This window comes from Homo sapiens, chromosome 9 (genome assembly GCF_000001405.40).
Source record: "Homo sapiens chromosome 9, GRCh38.p14 Primary Assembly".
NCBI classification, from domain to species: Eukaryota; Metazoa; Chordata; class Mammalia; order Primates; family Hominidae; genus Homo; species Homo sapiens.
This window is the reverse complement of record NC_000009.12, coordinates 8,848,828-8,866,576: the sequence shown is the minus strand read 5'-3', so window position 1 is coordinate 8,866,576 and position 17,749 is coordinate 8,848,828. Positions and strand designations below refer to the sequence as shown.

Sequence of the window (17,749 nt, the reverse complement as noted above, 5' to 3'; positions counted from 1 at the left end):
GAACATTTGCACTTAGTTATAAAGTACGTACTTAATCATGAACCACTGAGGTTTTTTTTAGCATGGGAGTTACATAATCAACTTGTGTTTTATTAAGGTTAATTGGGCAGCACGTTGGGGCATAGATTGGGGCCAATCAGGAAAACAATGGGAGCAGAAGAATATGCAAAAGATTATTATTGTATTAGTCCAGAGAACAGTAGAGATACTTGTGTTAGAAAGATGGGCTTTTGGTGGTAAGAAAAGGAAAGAAAACATGATCTTAAAGAACTGAACACAAATAAATAACCAAGCAGGAATGGTGCTTCTACATTTATAAAACAAGCACTAACATGAATAGACTATGTAAAGTAATCACACAGTTGGGAAAGAATAGTTTTGGTTTGCCTTTTAAATCTCTCCAAGACTTGTTCAGTGTTACTAGTAATTTTGGAGATGTGGCCAATGAGTTTTGAAAATCAGGATAACTTCCAGTAATATATGTTCCTATAGGAAATAATGTTTACAGGCAAATGAATGCTCTGTTCATCTAAGAATATACCAAGTTAAAAATGAAAATGTCAACACCAGTTAGAAGTATAAAGGATTTTTTGTCCACTGAACTGATCAAATTCTTTTGACTTCTTGTAGGAAAGCATGAAACTTTATAATCATTCTCATCAAAAGTTCCGTGGAACTACGAATCCATCCACTCCCGTTAGACTCTATTATTATTCTTTGTCTGGGACATTTTGGTGTGTGTTGTGATTAGTGAGGCCTAACTCTGACCAAACTCTAGGTCGTTGTACCTTTCAGCACAGTCTCAATAAGAGGCAATATTAACGTGACATCTAACCAGGCCACAGTGGTATCTAAGCACATGCTATCATATTTTGCAGCAGACCTTTTTTGAGATCTGCTTCTAGTGCAGGTTCTGGGCTTGGTGGTGATGAGAAGAGTGTGAAGACGCTCACAATTTAATAGGGTGAAATTATACACAATAAAAATACAGAGAGATAGGAAAAAAGAAGAAAAGGAAAAGAATGAGAGCCCAGGAGCAGGGGAAATTCATTCTATTTAGTGGACTATACGGGAGGCTTTATAAAGACAGTGATGTATCATGTAAGATGTGCACCTGACAACCAGTTCATTTCCTATTTCTATCCTTCCCTTCCTTTACTTTCTGAAATATTTATGAAATGCCTATTGTGCTTAAAGCCCTATGACAGGAGCTCTGGGTTCCAATCAGACATGAATCCTGCTCTCAAACAACTGTGAAAACATTACATTGAGTATGTACACCAAGTAGAAATTAAATGATCCAACACAGATTCTTGTTTTCTGGTTTCTTGTTGTACTGGCAAATGCTGCCTCCTGTACTGAAAAATTTGTTCTTTCTGAAAAATTTGGACTGTCCCTGGATGGTTTGTATTATGATTAAAGAAAGAATGATAGATTTATTTTTAAAAAGTGATAACAGAACAGACTTTACATCAACCAGATTTACATAAATGTAGGCTACATGCTAGATGATGTGCTGTTTTATCCTATTTCTATCACGCTTTGTGCAGATACCTGGCCCAAAATTTTCTTATTCATTGAGAAGACAGAGAAAAGTATAATTATGGCCAAAATACTAGCTTGTACAAAGCTGTTTTCTTTATTGTGTTTTTAATACAAGTGTAAGACAAGAACAGAAGTATAAGACAAAGAGAAAACATTAGAAAAGTGGCAGAAATATAGTAGTCTTGATGCCTTGCTATATTCACTGTTTTGAAAACTGTTACTGAATGCACAAGGAAACACCCCCAGTTACTCATGGGGACTCTGCTGCATATGGAAAACAAAGCAAGATCTGGAGACAGTGAGATCCTGGCCCAGGATACAATGACCAACTTGCCACTGGTCATTTATAATCCCTGAACTGCATAGGAATGCGCTCCCTGCAACGTGAAAATCAACGTGTGGTATTTCACTTCTGAGTGAGTTTTTTGGAAACCATCCTCTGAAACCCTGTTAGAAAGAACCTTTAAAAATAATTTCATGGTTCTGTGTTAGTGCTTTCTTTCTAAAAATGTAAGAGCTAAAGTTGGTTGGTGGACGCAGAAGTCTTACTAGCTTTGAAAAACTGCTGTGCTTCGTGTTTTACTCTCGTTTATTTCTCTCTTCCTAACCATTGAATCTTAAAGCACATTCTTTCATTAAGGAGATTCAGCACCCTCTAGAGTAGTGGATTGTGAGTCATTAACTGCCTGAAGCATGTCCGAGTCTTGAGAGATAAGAGTCAGGCTTGTGCAAATGAAATTTTAAACAAATGCTGCAGTACTTTTGTATCTTTCTCTTAAACAGTACAAATTTTGGTTGACCATGGAAATAATAATATTGAAGTTCAAAATTTAACTTCCTTTTCAGGTTATGTCCCATGATTTGACATCCTACAGATAGAGAAACAGAGTTTTCCTTCTTTCAAAGAATCCTCCTCACAACTATCTGTGATTCATTTCCATTGTGTTTCCCATTCTTGCGCCATTCAGCAAGATGGAGCCTGTTTCATCAGTTTTTGGTCTCTGTAGAGTGTTCCTTTATTCAATGATTAACTACTAGCTTTCTGGTGACTTCTTAATCTTTTTCTGTATTTTAAAATATTCCTTCATTTCAGAATTTTCTTACCTAAGATACAAACACTAAATGGAACATAAGTAACTGCAGTTGCTTTCCTCCCTAATCAGCTCTGCCTTTCCTACTGAAGATATAATTTAAAAAATGTATCAAAACCCATGAAAGTTAAAACTTTAAAATAAACACTAGGCAATTTGTTTCCTCAGTGAAACAAATTTAGAGGTTAAGGTGACAGAAATGTGTTTATACCTCATATAACTAACAATGCACCCATTTATGTTAGCAATAGTTTTATTTTTTAAAAATGCTGCAAAATGTAAAGATAGGTGGCCTCAAAATGTTTATACTAAATAGAATGAAAAAACAAAACCAATACACAATTTTGTTAGGAAACACTGAAATCCACTGCTTAATGTATGCATTAATGGGCCTTCTTGACAAATCACCTGTTAAATTTTAGCTGACAGCTTGTCATATATTAATTATAAATAAGTGTAATATACAGTTATCATAATGCATGCAACAAAAAAGAAATAGGAAAGGTAATTAGAGTATATCCTTTGTTTTCTCCCTTCACTTCTTGCTCACAAGAAAAAAATGACCCAGTGTTTCACTTGGGTTGGGATAGTGCCAATGGTTAATGGAATGCCCCAGTCTACTAAAGAATTTAATGGGAATATCCATTTGTCACAGTCGCATGCTGTGATCTCCAGTAGCAGAGCCAGTATTGTCACAGTCGCATGCTGTAATCTCCAGTAGCAGAGCCAGTAGCAAATAGCATTGTACCATAACGTCCTCTACACACTGCAGGTGAGGGTGAAGTGCAGCAGCTGAACAGAGCAGTCAGTGGAGGAGGTATGGCTTTTCTAGGCCTTTCTTTATGAAAGATGTGGATTTCTTTTTTTTATTATTATTATACTTTAAGTTTTAGGGTACATGTACACATTGTGCAGGTTAGTTACATACGTATACATGTGCCATGCTGGTGCGCTGCACCCACTAACGCGTCATCTAGCATTAGGTATATCTCCCGATGCTCTCCCTCCCCCCCACCACCCCACAACCGTCCCCAGAGTGTGATGTTCCCCTTCCTGTGTCCATGTGATCTCACTGTTCAATTCCCACCTATGAGTGAGAATATGCGGTGTTTGCTTTTTTGTTCTTGCGATAGTTTACTGAGAATGATGGTTTCCAATTTCATCCATGAAGATGTGGATTTCTTTTCTTAAAGAGGACAGTGCTGCCTAACAGCAAGAAGAGATGCTGCCTTGAAGAAAAGGAAAGTGTATTTTTTTCACGTGGAAAAAGAAAGCATAAATGATTGCACAACATGTCTCAAAATCTCCAGCTGCCTCCTTTTCTACTGGAAGCCCACTTGTTTGTAAAGAATCTTTGGGTAGTGGAATCAGAACAGGTGATTTCAATCATCAGCTAGTTCTGAGTTTGAGCTTTCAAATCTGCAGAATGGGAGTAATGACACCTAAGCATGCAATGTTACTGGTAGAATCCATAGAACTACATGGGTCAAAAAATTTAGCATGGCACCTTAATTAATATCTTCTTTTCTTCTTTACAATTGAATTTGAATGATAGGGTTGTCTGGCTGCTTTTTAATTTATTCTTGAGACAGAGTCTGGCTCTGTTGCCCAGTCTGGAGTGCAATGGCGTGATCTCGGCTCACTTCAACCTCCACCTCCTGGGTTCAAGCAATTCTCCTGTCTCAGCCTCCCGAGTAGCTGGGATTACAGACACGTGCCACCACGCCCAGATAATTTTTGTATTTTTAGTAGAGACGGGTTTCACCATGTTGGCCAGGCTGATTTCAAACTCCTGACCTCAAGTGATCTGCCTGCCTTGGCCTCCAAAAGTGCTGGGATTACAGGTGTGAGCCACAGTGCCTGGCCTTTTAGCTTTCTTATGTGCTAGTTCTGTGTTTGGCCAAAGCAAGCTACTGAGAAATGCTGTATAACTTAAATTTGAAAAATACTCTCTGAAATAAAAATAGAAACACACGTAGAAGTGAATATTGTTATTTGAGGACTGAAACTATTATTGTTTCATTTATGTATTTAGCAGTAAGTCAATAAAGTGTATTAGACATAAGCTAACACCTACAGGAAAAGGTCTTAGATATTAGATTTAGTGTTTTATGAAATTCCTCACTCTCTTCCGAACATGTCACTTGAATCTATGCTGTGTTTCTCCATTTAGCTGGATTTAATAAAAACCCCAGTAGTCCTCACAAAGAAAACATGATTAGCAACAATTTATTCCATACCTTGGTCAATAATTTATCATCACTATAGAAGTGAAAATATTGGATTTGAAGTCAAACAGATCTAGGTTCAAAATTCTAGCTTGGCCACTCACTGTGTCAGCTTGGCCAAATTACTTATCCTCTCTCGTCCTGTTTCCTCACTTATATAATGGGGCTAATAATACTTAACTAGCAAGGCAGTTAAGATTGGAAACGAGGCAGTGCTTCCAAACTTTTAATCACTAGCCACATGATCAAAAAGGAAGTTTTGCAAAAAAAATAAAAAAATAAAAAATAAAACAACTTAGTATGTATAATGCACTCTGTGTTTTTTCCTACTTTTCTTTCATTTCAGAAATTGTTTATGACCCACTAGATTCGCAACCCACATAAGGTCATGAAGTGCCTTTTCAAAAACAGGTGAACTTTAACATGCTTAGCACGATGCTTAGTACATAATACAAGTGTAACAACTGATTACTATTATTGTCATCGTGATTATTTTTAGTCTCCTGTTAGGATGCCTCATGATAAATGAGAATAAATCTTCCAAGTACTTCTAGGAACTAACTCCTTTGGATGGGGTCCAAAACAGACTCATACTCATCGTATGCTGAATTATGCACTAGAGGGGGTAGTGCTATAGCAAAGCTCCTGTGTGCTATTTATCACAGAATGTTAGAGCTGGAAGGAAACGAAGAAAATGTCTTGTCCTATTGCTTCATTTTTCCTTCATAAAAGTATTTGGAGTTTTAAAAATATTCTATATGTATTGCTCATTGATAAGTTGGAAAACTGGCTTCTTTGATCCAGAATGTGGAGGTGATGATGAATAGCTGGTGGGATGGAGGGCACTGGATCATGATGTCTGAGTTCTTGTCCTGCTTCTGGCACCAAATAGTTGGATGATTTTAAATTCTCAGGGTCTTCGTTTCTTTACCTGTAAAAACGAGGTAATTTCAACAAAAGATTAGCCTGCTTCTGATGTTCTTTGACTTAAAATTTCCAAATGGTAAACCAGTCCAGAAGTTTACTAGATGCTGCAGCATTAGGACACTCTTTTGTTGCCAATCTGCTCTGAATATATTAACATGAGTGTAGCAGGCTGCAGTCTCACTTCCATTACTACTCAGATGTGCAGAGAAACTTTGGCTTCTCTATTTGCTGTATCTCCCGTTTTTCAGCAGCATCACCCTGAATAATTCTCAGTCTCATTGGTATAATAATAACTCAGACTCTCCAGTCACCTTGACCCATCCCTACTTCTTTCTCTAAGATGTTTGATGTTTGGTTGTAGTAGAGACAAGAACATCTAGGACTTCACAGTGTCAGAAAAGTTGGGCTTATGCCATTTACTTGTACTGTCCTCTGTATCCCCTGATTTCTGGGTCCCTTTTCTACTTGCTAGTTTAAATCACTACCAGTGGTGTAAGATGATATATCCTCAACTATGTTCCCAGATAGCAGTCAGATTTACCAGCTGGGTTCTTCTTAAATGAGGTCAGATCTGCAGGCAGAGTGATACATTTCCCACAAAAGTAACAGCAAAGGAATATTAGGGGTTTTAAAACTTTCTGTTTCTCTAACATGCAACTTTGGATGAGGAAAGTGGGATTGCCAGTTTATGGGGGCACATGTGGCAATGACAAAGCCAAGTAGGAGTTTACATCTTGGGTGGAATCACCTATGGGGAGGCTGAGATTTCTGGATCCATCCTTAGGTCACAGGGGGCAAGGGTCCATCATCCCTGCACAGCTTTTCAGCTCCTGTGAAATCAGAATGATTGGAGGGTAAACCTCGTTTGAAGGCTTGCACAAGAATTGATTTCTTCCTGATTTTCACTATGACCCTAACCATAAAAAAGCAAAACCAAAAAGCCAAGAGACAATCATGCAGGGATGCTCCTCCCCCACCCCCAAATTGCTGGAAAACTAAACTTCGTTTAGAGAGATTCCTTTAAAAAATATGTGACTTATTTTTGGAGTACATAGGGGGCAGAGGATTACTGACCAATCCTTCGGTGGCTTTCAGGAGCACAGCATGCAGATGGTGGAAACAAATGGGCAGCTTGAGACAGCAGTCAGCATGCTGGATCATTAAGTCAAATCTAAGGGTGTCTGTTTACCTTTGCTCTTTCAAAGACAGCCCGGAGTCTGCAGGGATAAGTATTGTGTGTATGTGCTGGCCTGAACACAGAATGAGCAATGGAGGTGGCTGGTGAGCTCTAGCTTTACTTTATTTAACCTTTCTGACCAAGTTTCTAATAAATTTTGATGGGCCAACTGCCAATGGTGGCTTCCAGCTGCCGACTTTTTCCACATGCTGGAGACCCTATGAGTAGTGAAGAAGGTTAAAATCCATCTCTTAGCTAACAATACACACAGTGCACCTTAGTCACCTTGGGTTGTGTGGATGAAGAGTGCATAGCCCAACAACTGGATGCTTGTCTAGGGAAGAGGTGTTATAGTGTCCTTCAGAGAAGCTGAGGAGCACTGCATTTCCAACAACATAAAAGCAAGTGGCATGAAAGCAAAACAAGTTATCACACTAAGATTTTGGTTCAGTACTTCCCAGTCTTCCTCGTTGCCTTCAAAGCGGATCCTACAAGCATCCCCGAAGGAGGCTGCCAAGGTGAACTGGGGCGGACACAAACTGTGTCTCATCAAAGCACGCTCCCTATAGTATTATCACTGCTGTCAATAGGGCGCGACCAGCATTTTTTCCTCCTTTGCGCTGGGACGCAGAGCAGGAAGCGCCCGGGTGTGCATCTCTTAGGAGATGAGTGAATCTGTTGGAGAGGGTCTTTTCTGGCCTGGTGGATGGATGCTGGGGAGTGACGTCACCCCGCCCCCTCCTCTGGTGTGTGTGTGTCTGTGTGTCTGTGTGTGTGTATGTGTGTGTGTGTGTGTGTGTGTGTGTGTGTGTTGCCTCCTTCACCCACCTCTCCTGCCTGCCCCTCCTTTATCCGGCTCTCTGGCCCTTTCAGTGGGTCAGTGGTCCAGATTCAGGGATTCGCCAGCGGGCGCAGCGGGCCCAGCTCTCCCCGCGTCCGGGCGCACCCACACTCACACTCACGCGCAGGCAACGCGCACACACAATCCCCCAGCGCTGGAGCACAGCAATTCCGTGGGATCCCCAGCACGTTACGAGGATTTTAGAAATCACCCACACAAGGAAACAAAGAGAGAAGCCTTTCCAATGACTTTCCTGGGCTTTTTCGTTTAATTTTCCCCCCTCCCCAAACCACCTCTTCTGCAGCCGTAACTACCAGGTTCAAGCCAGGTCCAAAGACTGGGCTGCACCGGCCACCCCACCTCCCGGCCCTCGACTCTGCTCGGGCCCTTTCCCAGGCGTCGCCTCGCACCCCTCTCCCCCCACGAGCCTCAGTTTCTGGTTACCTCGCGTGCGCTTCACTTTTGGGGGGAAGAAGAGAAGGGGAGGGAGGCACCGAGGGGGGCAGCCGAGTTGCTATTTGTGGCCAAAGAATCCGCTTTAAAAGAAGAGGCAGCAGGAAGGAGGAAAGAGGAGAGGCGGAGGGAGGAGAGGAGACGCGGCCCCGGACCCCCCAGCCGCGAGCGGCGGAGCATCGAGGAGCGGGAGGAGGAGGAAGAGGAGGAGGAGGAGGAGGGGGAGGAGACAAACAGCGGCGGCGGCGGCAGCGAGAGAAGCGGGCGCAGGGCGAGCAGGAGGAGCGGGAGGAGGAGAAACCGCCGCGGAAGCCGCGGGCTCAGAAGGGCCAAGAGGACGGCCCGGGAAGAGGAGGAGGAGGCGGAGGAGGAGGAAAAGGGGGTAGGGGTGGAGGGAGGGCGGGGGGACGCGCTGCCTTGGATGCTGGATTTCGGGTTTTTGGACTCACTCGCTGACTCTCTTCCACTTCCTCGCTCTGGACTGGGCTGGCCGCACGAGGGCTGGGCGGCGGCGGCGACCAGGGGGGCTTCGGCGGCGGCGGCCGCTGCTCCGCGGGATTAAATTGGCCGCCCGGAGGCGGCGGCGCGGCCGTGGCGGGGCGCGAAGGCGCTGGAGGAAAGTGTTGGCGGCGGCGCGGGAGGCGGTGGCGGCGGCTGCCCGGGGCCAACATGACCAGGTGAGTCCCTGGAACTGACCCCGTCCGCCCCGCGGTGTCTTCCCCTCTTGCTGCTCCGGAATCGCCCTGCGCCCGGCTCCGGCTGCCGGCGCCTCCCGAGCCAGAGCGACACGCTCGCGTTTCCGCGAGCCCGGCGCCCGGGCACCGGAGCGCACAGTTTGCTCCTCTGGACCTCCTCGGGCAGAGGTCCTCTCCTGCTGGGTTCACTTCTCGCCTGAAACCTCAGACCCGGGAGAGAGGCGACTCTAGAGAATGGGGGTGTCCGGGTATGTGTATTTGTGCGACCCCCGCTCTCTCCTCCTAGGGTGGGCGTAGTATTGGGGGCAAATGGTGGAGCGGTGGGGCAATCCACCCTTACCCAGGGATCCTGCCACCGCCTTTTTTAAAGGCAGGGATTACTGTTTTAAGGAGGGCTGACTACGGTGAGGGGGCGATTTCTTTTTCTTTCTTTCCTCTGAACTAGTGGGGAGAAGGAGAAATAGCAGGAATCAAAGTCTACGCAGCTGCCATAGAGGAGGGGGATTGTTTGGGAGACCTTCCCGTGGCAGAATCAAAGCTCGTAGTTCAGCTGCGGGAATCTGGTGTACTTAACACACACATTCATTCCGTAGGGAAGGGAACGCATCTTTTATAATGAAGAGTCAAAGTTGTAAGAAACAATTTAAAAAGAAAGCCACGAACAAACCAAAGATTATTTGCTTTCCCATAGATTTATTGTAGCTTTTATGTGGGTGTGTAGAAAACTTGCATTGCTTCTCTGGACGTTGATTTTCATTTAAAAGCACTAGCAAGTGAAGTCAGTTTTTAAGTCTTATGCTTAAAAAAATCTTGAACACCAAGTGTGAGCTTGGCTTTCATTAATTTGGTGTTCCAGGATTCCAGATAGTAGTTCCATTCTCCAAAACCAGGACTATCACAATCCACTTTTATTGTTTCCAGTTCGCCTCCCAGTACGCTACTTGCCAAATGTCTCCTCCGTTTTCTAAAATTCTCAGAGTAATCCCCCAGCCTCATCTACAGTTTGCACCTTAAGTATCTAGGAAGATTCCTGAGGGCTCGTTCTCCTTGTATTTCCTCTTAAAGTTATATATATATATTTACATGTGCAAAGACACAGTGCCAGTGACTTAACAGAGTGTAGCTCACACAGTTTGAACCTCTCAGAGGCTAGTAACTGCTTATGACTTGAAATAGGTTTGCTGTTAAATTTACTGAGCTACAAATGTGGACTTTATCCTTTGGTGTATTCTTTTCTAACCATCCTGTAGCGCATCTCTGGGGACTTAGTTCAACCATAGATACTTCTGACCATTTTCAGTATTTTTTTCTCTGTTTCAAAGTGCACACACCAACCACTCAACTTGAGTAAAACAAGGATGATATACCAAAACTTGAAACATTCTGATGTAAAGGGATCTGTAGAGATAATAACTTAAGATTAAGTTGTATATGTAATATAATAATACCCAGTAAAAGGCTTAGTATCTTACTTACTTTGAACATATATTCTGCTTTATGCTACAGACACTATAGCAAAAAGAGAACACATTTTCAATGTTCCGTGTCTGACTTATGGAAACAGACATCCTAAATGGACAATAAAATTTTCCCTACCTCCCACATTCCATAATTATGTACTGTACTTTGCTTTTCAATGGAGCTAGCAATTCTGTGGCAGATTTCTTAAATTCACCCTCATGCTATCAGCTATTATTGTACTTTCAAAGTGTGAAATTGACAAGCTGGTCAGTTTCATGAATTCAGCTGTCAGATTGTGTCCAGTTAAAAATTGCTAAAAGCTGTAAATGTGCCTGCCTGGAATTTTCTTTTGTGAAGGAAGGACAGCAAGGGGATGGGGGATTAATGGGTGTTATTAATTGTAGATCTTTAAAAATAGATGGACTCCAATGTGAGTTGTATCACTGGCTGTTACTGGGAAATACGTTTAGATTTTTACTCCTGTAAAAGTGGCATTCAATTTTTATCTGTATCTTATTTTAAATAGTACTTTGCATAGAAATCATCTGTTCTTATAGCCCTCAGTAATATATAATAGGAATAAGATTCAAATAGGAACACTGTCTCTCTCAAATATATTTTAATATAGTTGAGTAATGTATTATTTTTGCATGACATGTAAAAAGGTGGATGAATTAAACATTTTATTGTGTAGGTTATGTAACACAGATTCTTCTTGGGCCAGAGCAGTTGTGCAGTTACTCAAGTAATGAAATGCAGCAATTTATTTTAATATATGTGCGTTAGAGTAGATAACCATAGATGTAAAACTGCTTAAAGTATTAAATACAGTGATTTGATTTGCCTTTTAAGATTGACACTTATTTAAATCCAGAATATCTCAAAGTCTGGAACTAAGAATTGGAATCCCCTCATCTGCTGCTATTTGCTAAGCCACTAGGGGCCTGTATAACTGTTCTTATATCCAGGAGGTATCCTGGTATGGCATATGCAAACCCTTCCTAGAGAGACATTAAAAAAAAAAAAAAATTCAAGTAGGCATTCCCCCAAGTTTTTGTTTTTTCCTTTTTAATACATTAACTCATATTCTGATACTAGTTATAGACAATGATTGAAGACTATTTCAAGAATTTTATTTAGGGCTTCTCTGGCACTATGATTTTCCATATAGAGTGTGAAAAATAGAAAAGAGAAAAGGTATTGGTGCAAATTCATATGTGATTCCAGTTCTCAGTGTATGACAAAGATAAACAAGAAGGAACATTAATAACTTTTCTTTATTGGACTGATAAGGATGTTATTTGCATAATGTAGGGTTAAAAGATAAATGAAGCAGAATTACTTTAAGGGAAGTATAGGCATAGATTGATGATGTGATTAAAGTAGCTTTGTAAGCGCTGTACAAGTTTGTATGGAAAGAAAATCTGAGGCTGTGACCACAGTTTAGTTAGCACTTGAGGGACCTGGACTGAAGACGCACTATACATTTTTAAGTGTCAGTTTCACAGATTTGAAATCGACCAGCCATGGCAATCTTGAGAGACATTAGGCAGTGAGGTCAAGTATACTTAAACTGTTCTTTCGTTGATTTTCAATTTTTCAAACTGACAAGGGTGACTGTTTGTAAAAGAGTACACTGTAAGTATTTGCATATTAGATTTCCTTCAGACCAAACTTGATTTATCAAACCATTGGACAATTCTATTTTTAAAAGGATTCTATGCATAATTAAGAATTCATTAACACAATCACATATGAAAAGTGTCATTTCAAGAAAGGTGAATATTTCAAAGATGACTTCATTTTAAAACTATCCTTCCTTAGTTTACCTTTTATTTTAAAACAACCCTTCTTTAGTTTCATTGTGTATTTGCAGGCAGTATAAGAGTCAAGTGTGTGTGTGCTCTTGTGCTCTAACTTGTGATCCTAGGAGCATCAGACTTAGGTTTACACTTAAAATATCTATGCAGAAAGCCTTTAATCATGGTACCTTTTTAATTCCCAAAAGTTTCTAGGAATCTCGAAAATAAACTTTACGTTTTATGTAGTGTACTCAACTTAGTGGTCACGAAATATACAGGATTTGTATTACATGCCCAGATATATGAAGTGCTAAATATAGATATAATTATCCAGTTTTCCCAGAGTATTCAAAAAATGCTTTACTTTTTCCTATTTTCTTAAAGTGATAATAGTTACATGTGATTTAAACCAAATTTAGTCTGAATCTCTTTTGGTTTTATGGAGTTATTTACCTTTTTTTGTTGTTATTTCATCTTTCTACTGTTCAGTTTCTTTGAAAATATCTTTTAGGAAAGCTGCTTACTTGTGATGGCAAAGAGGCAGCTTACTGCCTCAAGCAAAACCAGTGTTTTAAAACATTCTTTTTTATATTATCAGTGATTTGCCAAGAAAGAGCAAAGAGAAGAGTTATTCTCTCTGTGAACTACAAGATTGAGAATTCCTATGTAACACATCAACTGAAGAAATCTGATAATGTGGAAGAAGATTGCTTAGAAGGAATTTGTCAGTAAATTTCATTTGAACAAGCATCACTTGTTTAAGCTTCTGTAATTTCATGGCACAGTGACATTTCTACCAAAGGATAGGTTTGTTTGGGATACATTTTCTATATGGGTAATCTCATTTGCTTCTAATTGGTAGCTGGTGACACTTATTAAAATGTCATGCTTGGCTTACATCTGTTTCCACAAAGTGTCCAAATTCTCTCCCTTTTTTAAAAAAATAAAAATGGATTTCAACTCTCCACAATTAAGCCCTTAAGAAAGATAGCTAAAAGAATATGTGACTTGTGCTTCCTGATTGTTCATTATATGAAATTATAGCCTCAGATGTAAAAGTTCAGCATTTTCTTTGCGTCATAAGTCTTAGGAAGGTCAAAGAGCAAATGCTTATATGTTACAGCAGTCTGACTTAATGTAACCTAAATAATAATGCCATCACAATGGTGCTAGACTGGAGAATTAATGAATTAGAATTCTTACGAAACATAGTTCAAAAGATTACACTGAAGACCTGTGTCTCTCATTTCCCCCTTAATAAATTACCCATTTGCTTTCAAGAAATCAACAGTTTGCATTTTTTTCTCTTAACAGTTTATTTATAAAATATTTTTAGGACTTAGACATTATGTACTTTACGTATTACATCCGTGTGTACTGCCACGCTCCTCGAAGCAACTCACAGGGAAAAAAATGGACTAAAACAATGCCTGCAGTGCCTCCCTCCTCCCTCACAAAATGATTAATTCTGTATCTTCCTGTTAATTATTTTTAGTTTGATGCTAATACATTTAACAGGACCATATTAATACTACTCAGTTGGCCTATGACATTTTGAAAATTACCAAAAGGGGGAAAAAAGAGAGAGACAGCAAAACTGAGCTTTTTGATGGCTTTTTAACCTCTGCTGTCCTTCAAATCAAATCCCTATGTGTCATAGATAAGTAAACTAAATGAAAAAGATGACAGTTTGGAGAGCTAAGACAGCTCATTCTGTCTGTAAGCTAGTAGGTCATGTATACCAGCAGGCAAGTAGTATTGAGACAACTTATGTTCTTCCCTCTTCACCTGCGACGAGCAAACCTTGCTTTCCTTTGTAAATGGCTGCTTTTACGTGGCAGGTCCCCACTTTGGCTCCTCCAGCATTTACAACAAAATGTAAGAGCCAAAGCAGCCATCTGAGTCAAGGCTTTCTCTTAGTTCTTTGAATTCATTGACCAGAAAGGCTAAGTTTGCTTCTTCCTTGACATTCAGATAACAATGTCAGGAGCATAGTGACCTTTGCCACATGGCTATTTACTAGATTTAACTCTCGTAACTCTGCCAGTTGCATGAGATTGATTAAATTTATAAATTCTCAATTGTCTTTTTCTTTTTCTTTTTTTATTAACAACATCCCTTGAGCTATGTTCTTTAATGTAGCAGTAGCTAACTAAATTGAGATTTGGGAATTGTATTTAGAAAACAGCATTTCTCAGTACTGCTTTGGGGTTTGGAGAAATTGTACTTTCAAATACATAAAGTGATCCTCTGTAATGATTGGATCACAAGTAACAAGAGACATCTTTTTTTTTTTAAACCGTTAGTAGATGGATTTCATTTATTAACTAAAAGGGTTGTATTAGTAATGATTTCATAAATGGTTGGATATCAGTTATTGTTAATTCTCATTTAACCATGCGTGCATGTAATACATATTAAGATGATGCTAAAGAATTGCAAAATCTCGACCCAGGTTCCTTTCTTTTTAGGCTACAGTGAAAAGAACATTCAGTTCTTATAGGAAGAACTAAATTTATGCCTCAGTTCTGCCACTTATTATCTGTGAGCTCTCGGAGGAAATGATAAAACATTTCAGAATCTTAGTTTCATCATCTGTAAAATGGAGGGAATGAATAACCATACATGTAATGAATATCCAGTTTGATCATACAAATTTATCTTATTTTGTATTTTAAATTTACATAATTCTCGAATGTAGAAGTCACGTAATGAACATACCATATTCAAGAACACTAGTTCCTATGATAGAGTTCTGTTGTCTTCAGCTATTTGTTAAAAGTGATTGCCACTTGACTTAAAAATTAAGATCTGTTGGATACGGATGTTTTGTGTACGTTTTTCCTGTTGGCACTCTGTGTGTACTGCTATAATTAGTGTAGTTGCTAGAACTCTCTTTTTCTGCTTAGCACATTTATTAAAGTCTGTACATATTAGCATGGCACGGTATGTTGTTTATCTTAGAAAGCATTTAAAGCAAAAGCTAGAAATAATTTTACCTAGAATGCACAAAGAGAGCGTTTCTCTCTAAAGTCTAAATTTTATTAATATATTCCTGGGGATATTTGATTTGGAGTTTCAGTTTGGGGGAAGAAATGTTTAGAAAAGCAGTTAATTAAAATACTGAAGCAGAATAAGTGCCTTTTTTTTTTTTTCTTTAATGGTAGTGCATCTTAGAAAGCTGCTTAGACTTTTGCCCAGTGCAGCTGTCCTTCCCTGAAGTATCAGGTTTCAAGAGCAATGATGGATGGTGGGTGCCTGTAGCCAGTTGTGGGGTTTGCTCTGAGGTCAAATGTATTGATGGAGGCAAGGAATTTACTGCCTTCTGTCTCCCTAAGATTCACCAGTACAATTTTACAGGGAGAAATTAGACTAGACACATCAAATGCTGATCCAGTGTCTGCTTATAGGTCAACAAGACATATGTTTTCAATGTTTAAAATAAAAATTTTCTCCGTCTTCCTTCCTCCTGGCCCATCCCATCTAAAGGGACATTTTGAGTATGCTCTAATGATTTCTTACTACACAAGTAGATCCTGGCCTCCCTGTGAAAACACATTCCAACTACTTGTAGTAGTAACTTAACTGAAATATTATTAGAGAATTTTGAGAGAAAAACCAATTCAGACTTCTCTGGTTGAAATAGCTCATTATGATTTTGTAGATACATTGATTTATGTCTTATTTTAAAAAGATCTATCAAGATTATTTGGCTAGCTAGAAATAAGAGTAGTTTGTTGGATGTATCTTAAATATTCTAAATCTACTTACTGGCCAGGTAACCATTTTTGCTTTTCTCGGGGAGGGGGAAGAAAAGAGGCAACTATGTTTTTCTAGAGGAATAAAATATTGGAAGCATCTTCCATTGGAAATATGCCATGGATGGAAGTTGTTCTTTGTCAGTTACTTCTTTGACATTCACTTTCTTCATCAACATGGAACTCTGTCTCCATTTGATGTTTGGCATCTATGTCTCCATCTCCATTCTAAACTCTTTTATTTTCATTTTATCTATATCCCCTTTCAGGTGGCTATCTGTACTGTCTCCTGCCATATGTCTATCCACTTCTCATAGAAACAATAATTTCTACATAGATAACCTTCAAAATAAATTTCCTCGCTTGTCTCTGGAGTTCCAGACGTGCATTTCTATCTGCTTGTTACATGACTGGGAAATGGGAGGCTCTCCTGTATCCCAAACATTGTATTTTGTAAACCCAAAATACTATCTTCCATCCATATCTATTTCTCTTTTCTTCATACTTCATCTGAGTTATCCCTTGATCAGAAACCTTGGTGTCATCCCTATCTCTTTTCTTCCTTTTGTTCTTATCCTCAGGCAATTTTGTAGATTCTCCTCCTGTAATCTTTTCACTTTATTTCCTTTCCATTTCTACCTTTCCTATGTGTTCTGCACTCCATACGCAGCTTCTTAGGTGGTTTTTGTGTTTTCTCATTTCTCCTCTTTGAGTCTTCCTAATTTTTGCTTTATGAAAGGCAAACTTGCTCAAGTCTACTTGATCAAGTGCTCAATACTCAACACAGCCATCAGAGCCCTTTGCAGTCTGCTCCCAAATTGCATGTCTAGCCTTCTCCCTCACCATAGCCCTGTGATACTCTGCCCTTGTGCAGTATCACATTCCCTGCAGTCATTGAGGAGGCTGTGCTTTTGGGCACCTCTTTAGTTCTACCAATACTGTTCCTGGAATCTCCTTTCTCTTACCAGCTGTCCTCACTTGTATCCATTGAAATCCTATTATTCTCTCATTTTCTAATGCTCAGTTCAAGTGCTATTCCTTTTCGTTGAATTGAGTTGAACTAAAGAATTATGGACCAGGCGCGGTGGCTCACGCCTGTAATCCCAGCACTTTGGGAGGCCGAGGCCGGTGGATCACGAGGTCAGGAGATCGAGACCATTCTGGCTAACATGGTGAAACCCCGTCTCCACTAAAAATACAAAAAATAAGCTGGGCGTGGTGGTGGGCGCCTGTAGTCCCAGCTAAAAATACAAAAATTATCTGGACATGGTGGCACTTGCCTATAGTCCCAGCTACTCGGGAGACTGAGGCAGGAGAATGGCATGAACCCGAGAGGCGGAGCTTGCAGTGAACTGAGATTACACCAATGCACTCCAGCCTGGGGGACAAAGCGAGACTCCGTCTCAAAAAAAAAAAAAAAAAAAAAATTTTTTTTTGAGTTGAGTAGAATTGAAACCATAAAATGTGAAGAATAATTATTCATTAGAAACCTCTCACAATGCTCAGGACCCTGAGATAGGTAAAAATTAAAATTCCTTTATGGGGAAAAATTTCATTAATTTTCTCAAATTTACAGCTATAGCATAGTGGTTGATATGTAATAGTTGTAATAGTGATTATTTCTAAAACTTACTGAGCATTTATTATATGCCAGGCATTCTGCTCAGTACCTCACCTTTAGTATTATGTTTAATGTCTAAAATAACATTCTGTGTAAGTCAGATGGTTTTATTATCATCATTTCACAGAAGAGGGTTGATCCATGGAGAGA

At 39.9% G+C, this 17,749-nt stretch overlaps 1 protein-coding gene and 1 long non-coding RNA gene across 53 annotated transcripts in view; one reads left to right on the top strand and one right to left on the bottom strand.

Annotated features, from left to right (window-relative positions):
• The window catches only part of PTPRD (protein tyrosine phosphatase receptor type D), a 2,298,757-nt gene that overhangs the window by 1,746,426 nt on the left and 534,582 nt on the right, over positions 1–17,749 (top strand). For 12 of the 51 annotated variants that reach the window (XM_047423660.1, XM_047423659.1, XM_047423648.1 and 9 more), the window contains exon 1: positions 8,710–8,939. The exons of 38 other annotated variants lie outside the window; for them this stretch is intronic. The gene's annotated coding sequence lies outside the window, so the exon portion shown is untranslated. Of the gene's footprint in view, positions 1–8,709; positions 9,206–17,749 lie in introns of those variants that run through there. One more of the 51 variants, NM_001377947.1, reaches the window with a different exon arrangement.
• Positions 4,850–8,559, bottom strand: PTPRD-AS1 (PTPRD antisense RNA 1). 2 transcript variants are annotated; one of them, NR_121599.1, is made up of 3 exons: positions 8,254–8,559; positions 6,540–6,621; positions 4,850–5,795 (listed from the first exon to the last, which is right to left on the bottom strand). It is a non-coding gene; the product is annotated as a PTPRD antisense RNA 1 (long non-coding RNA). The 2 variants fall into 2 exon arrangements; NR_121600.1 differs by lacking the exon at positions 6,540–6,621.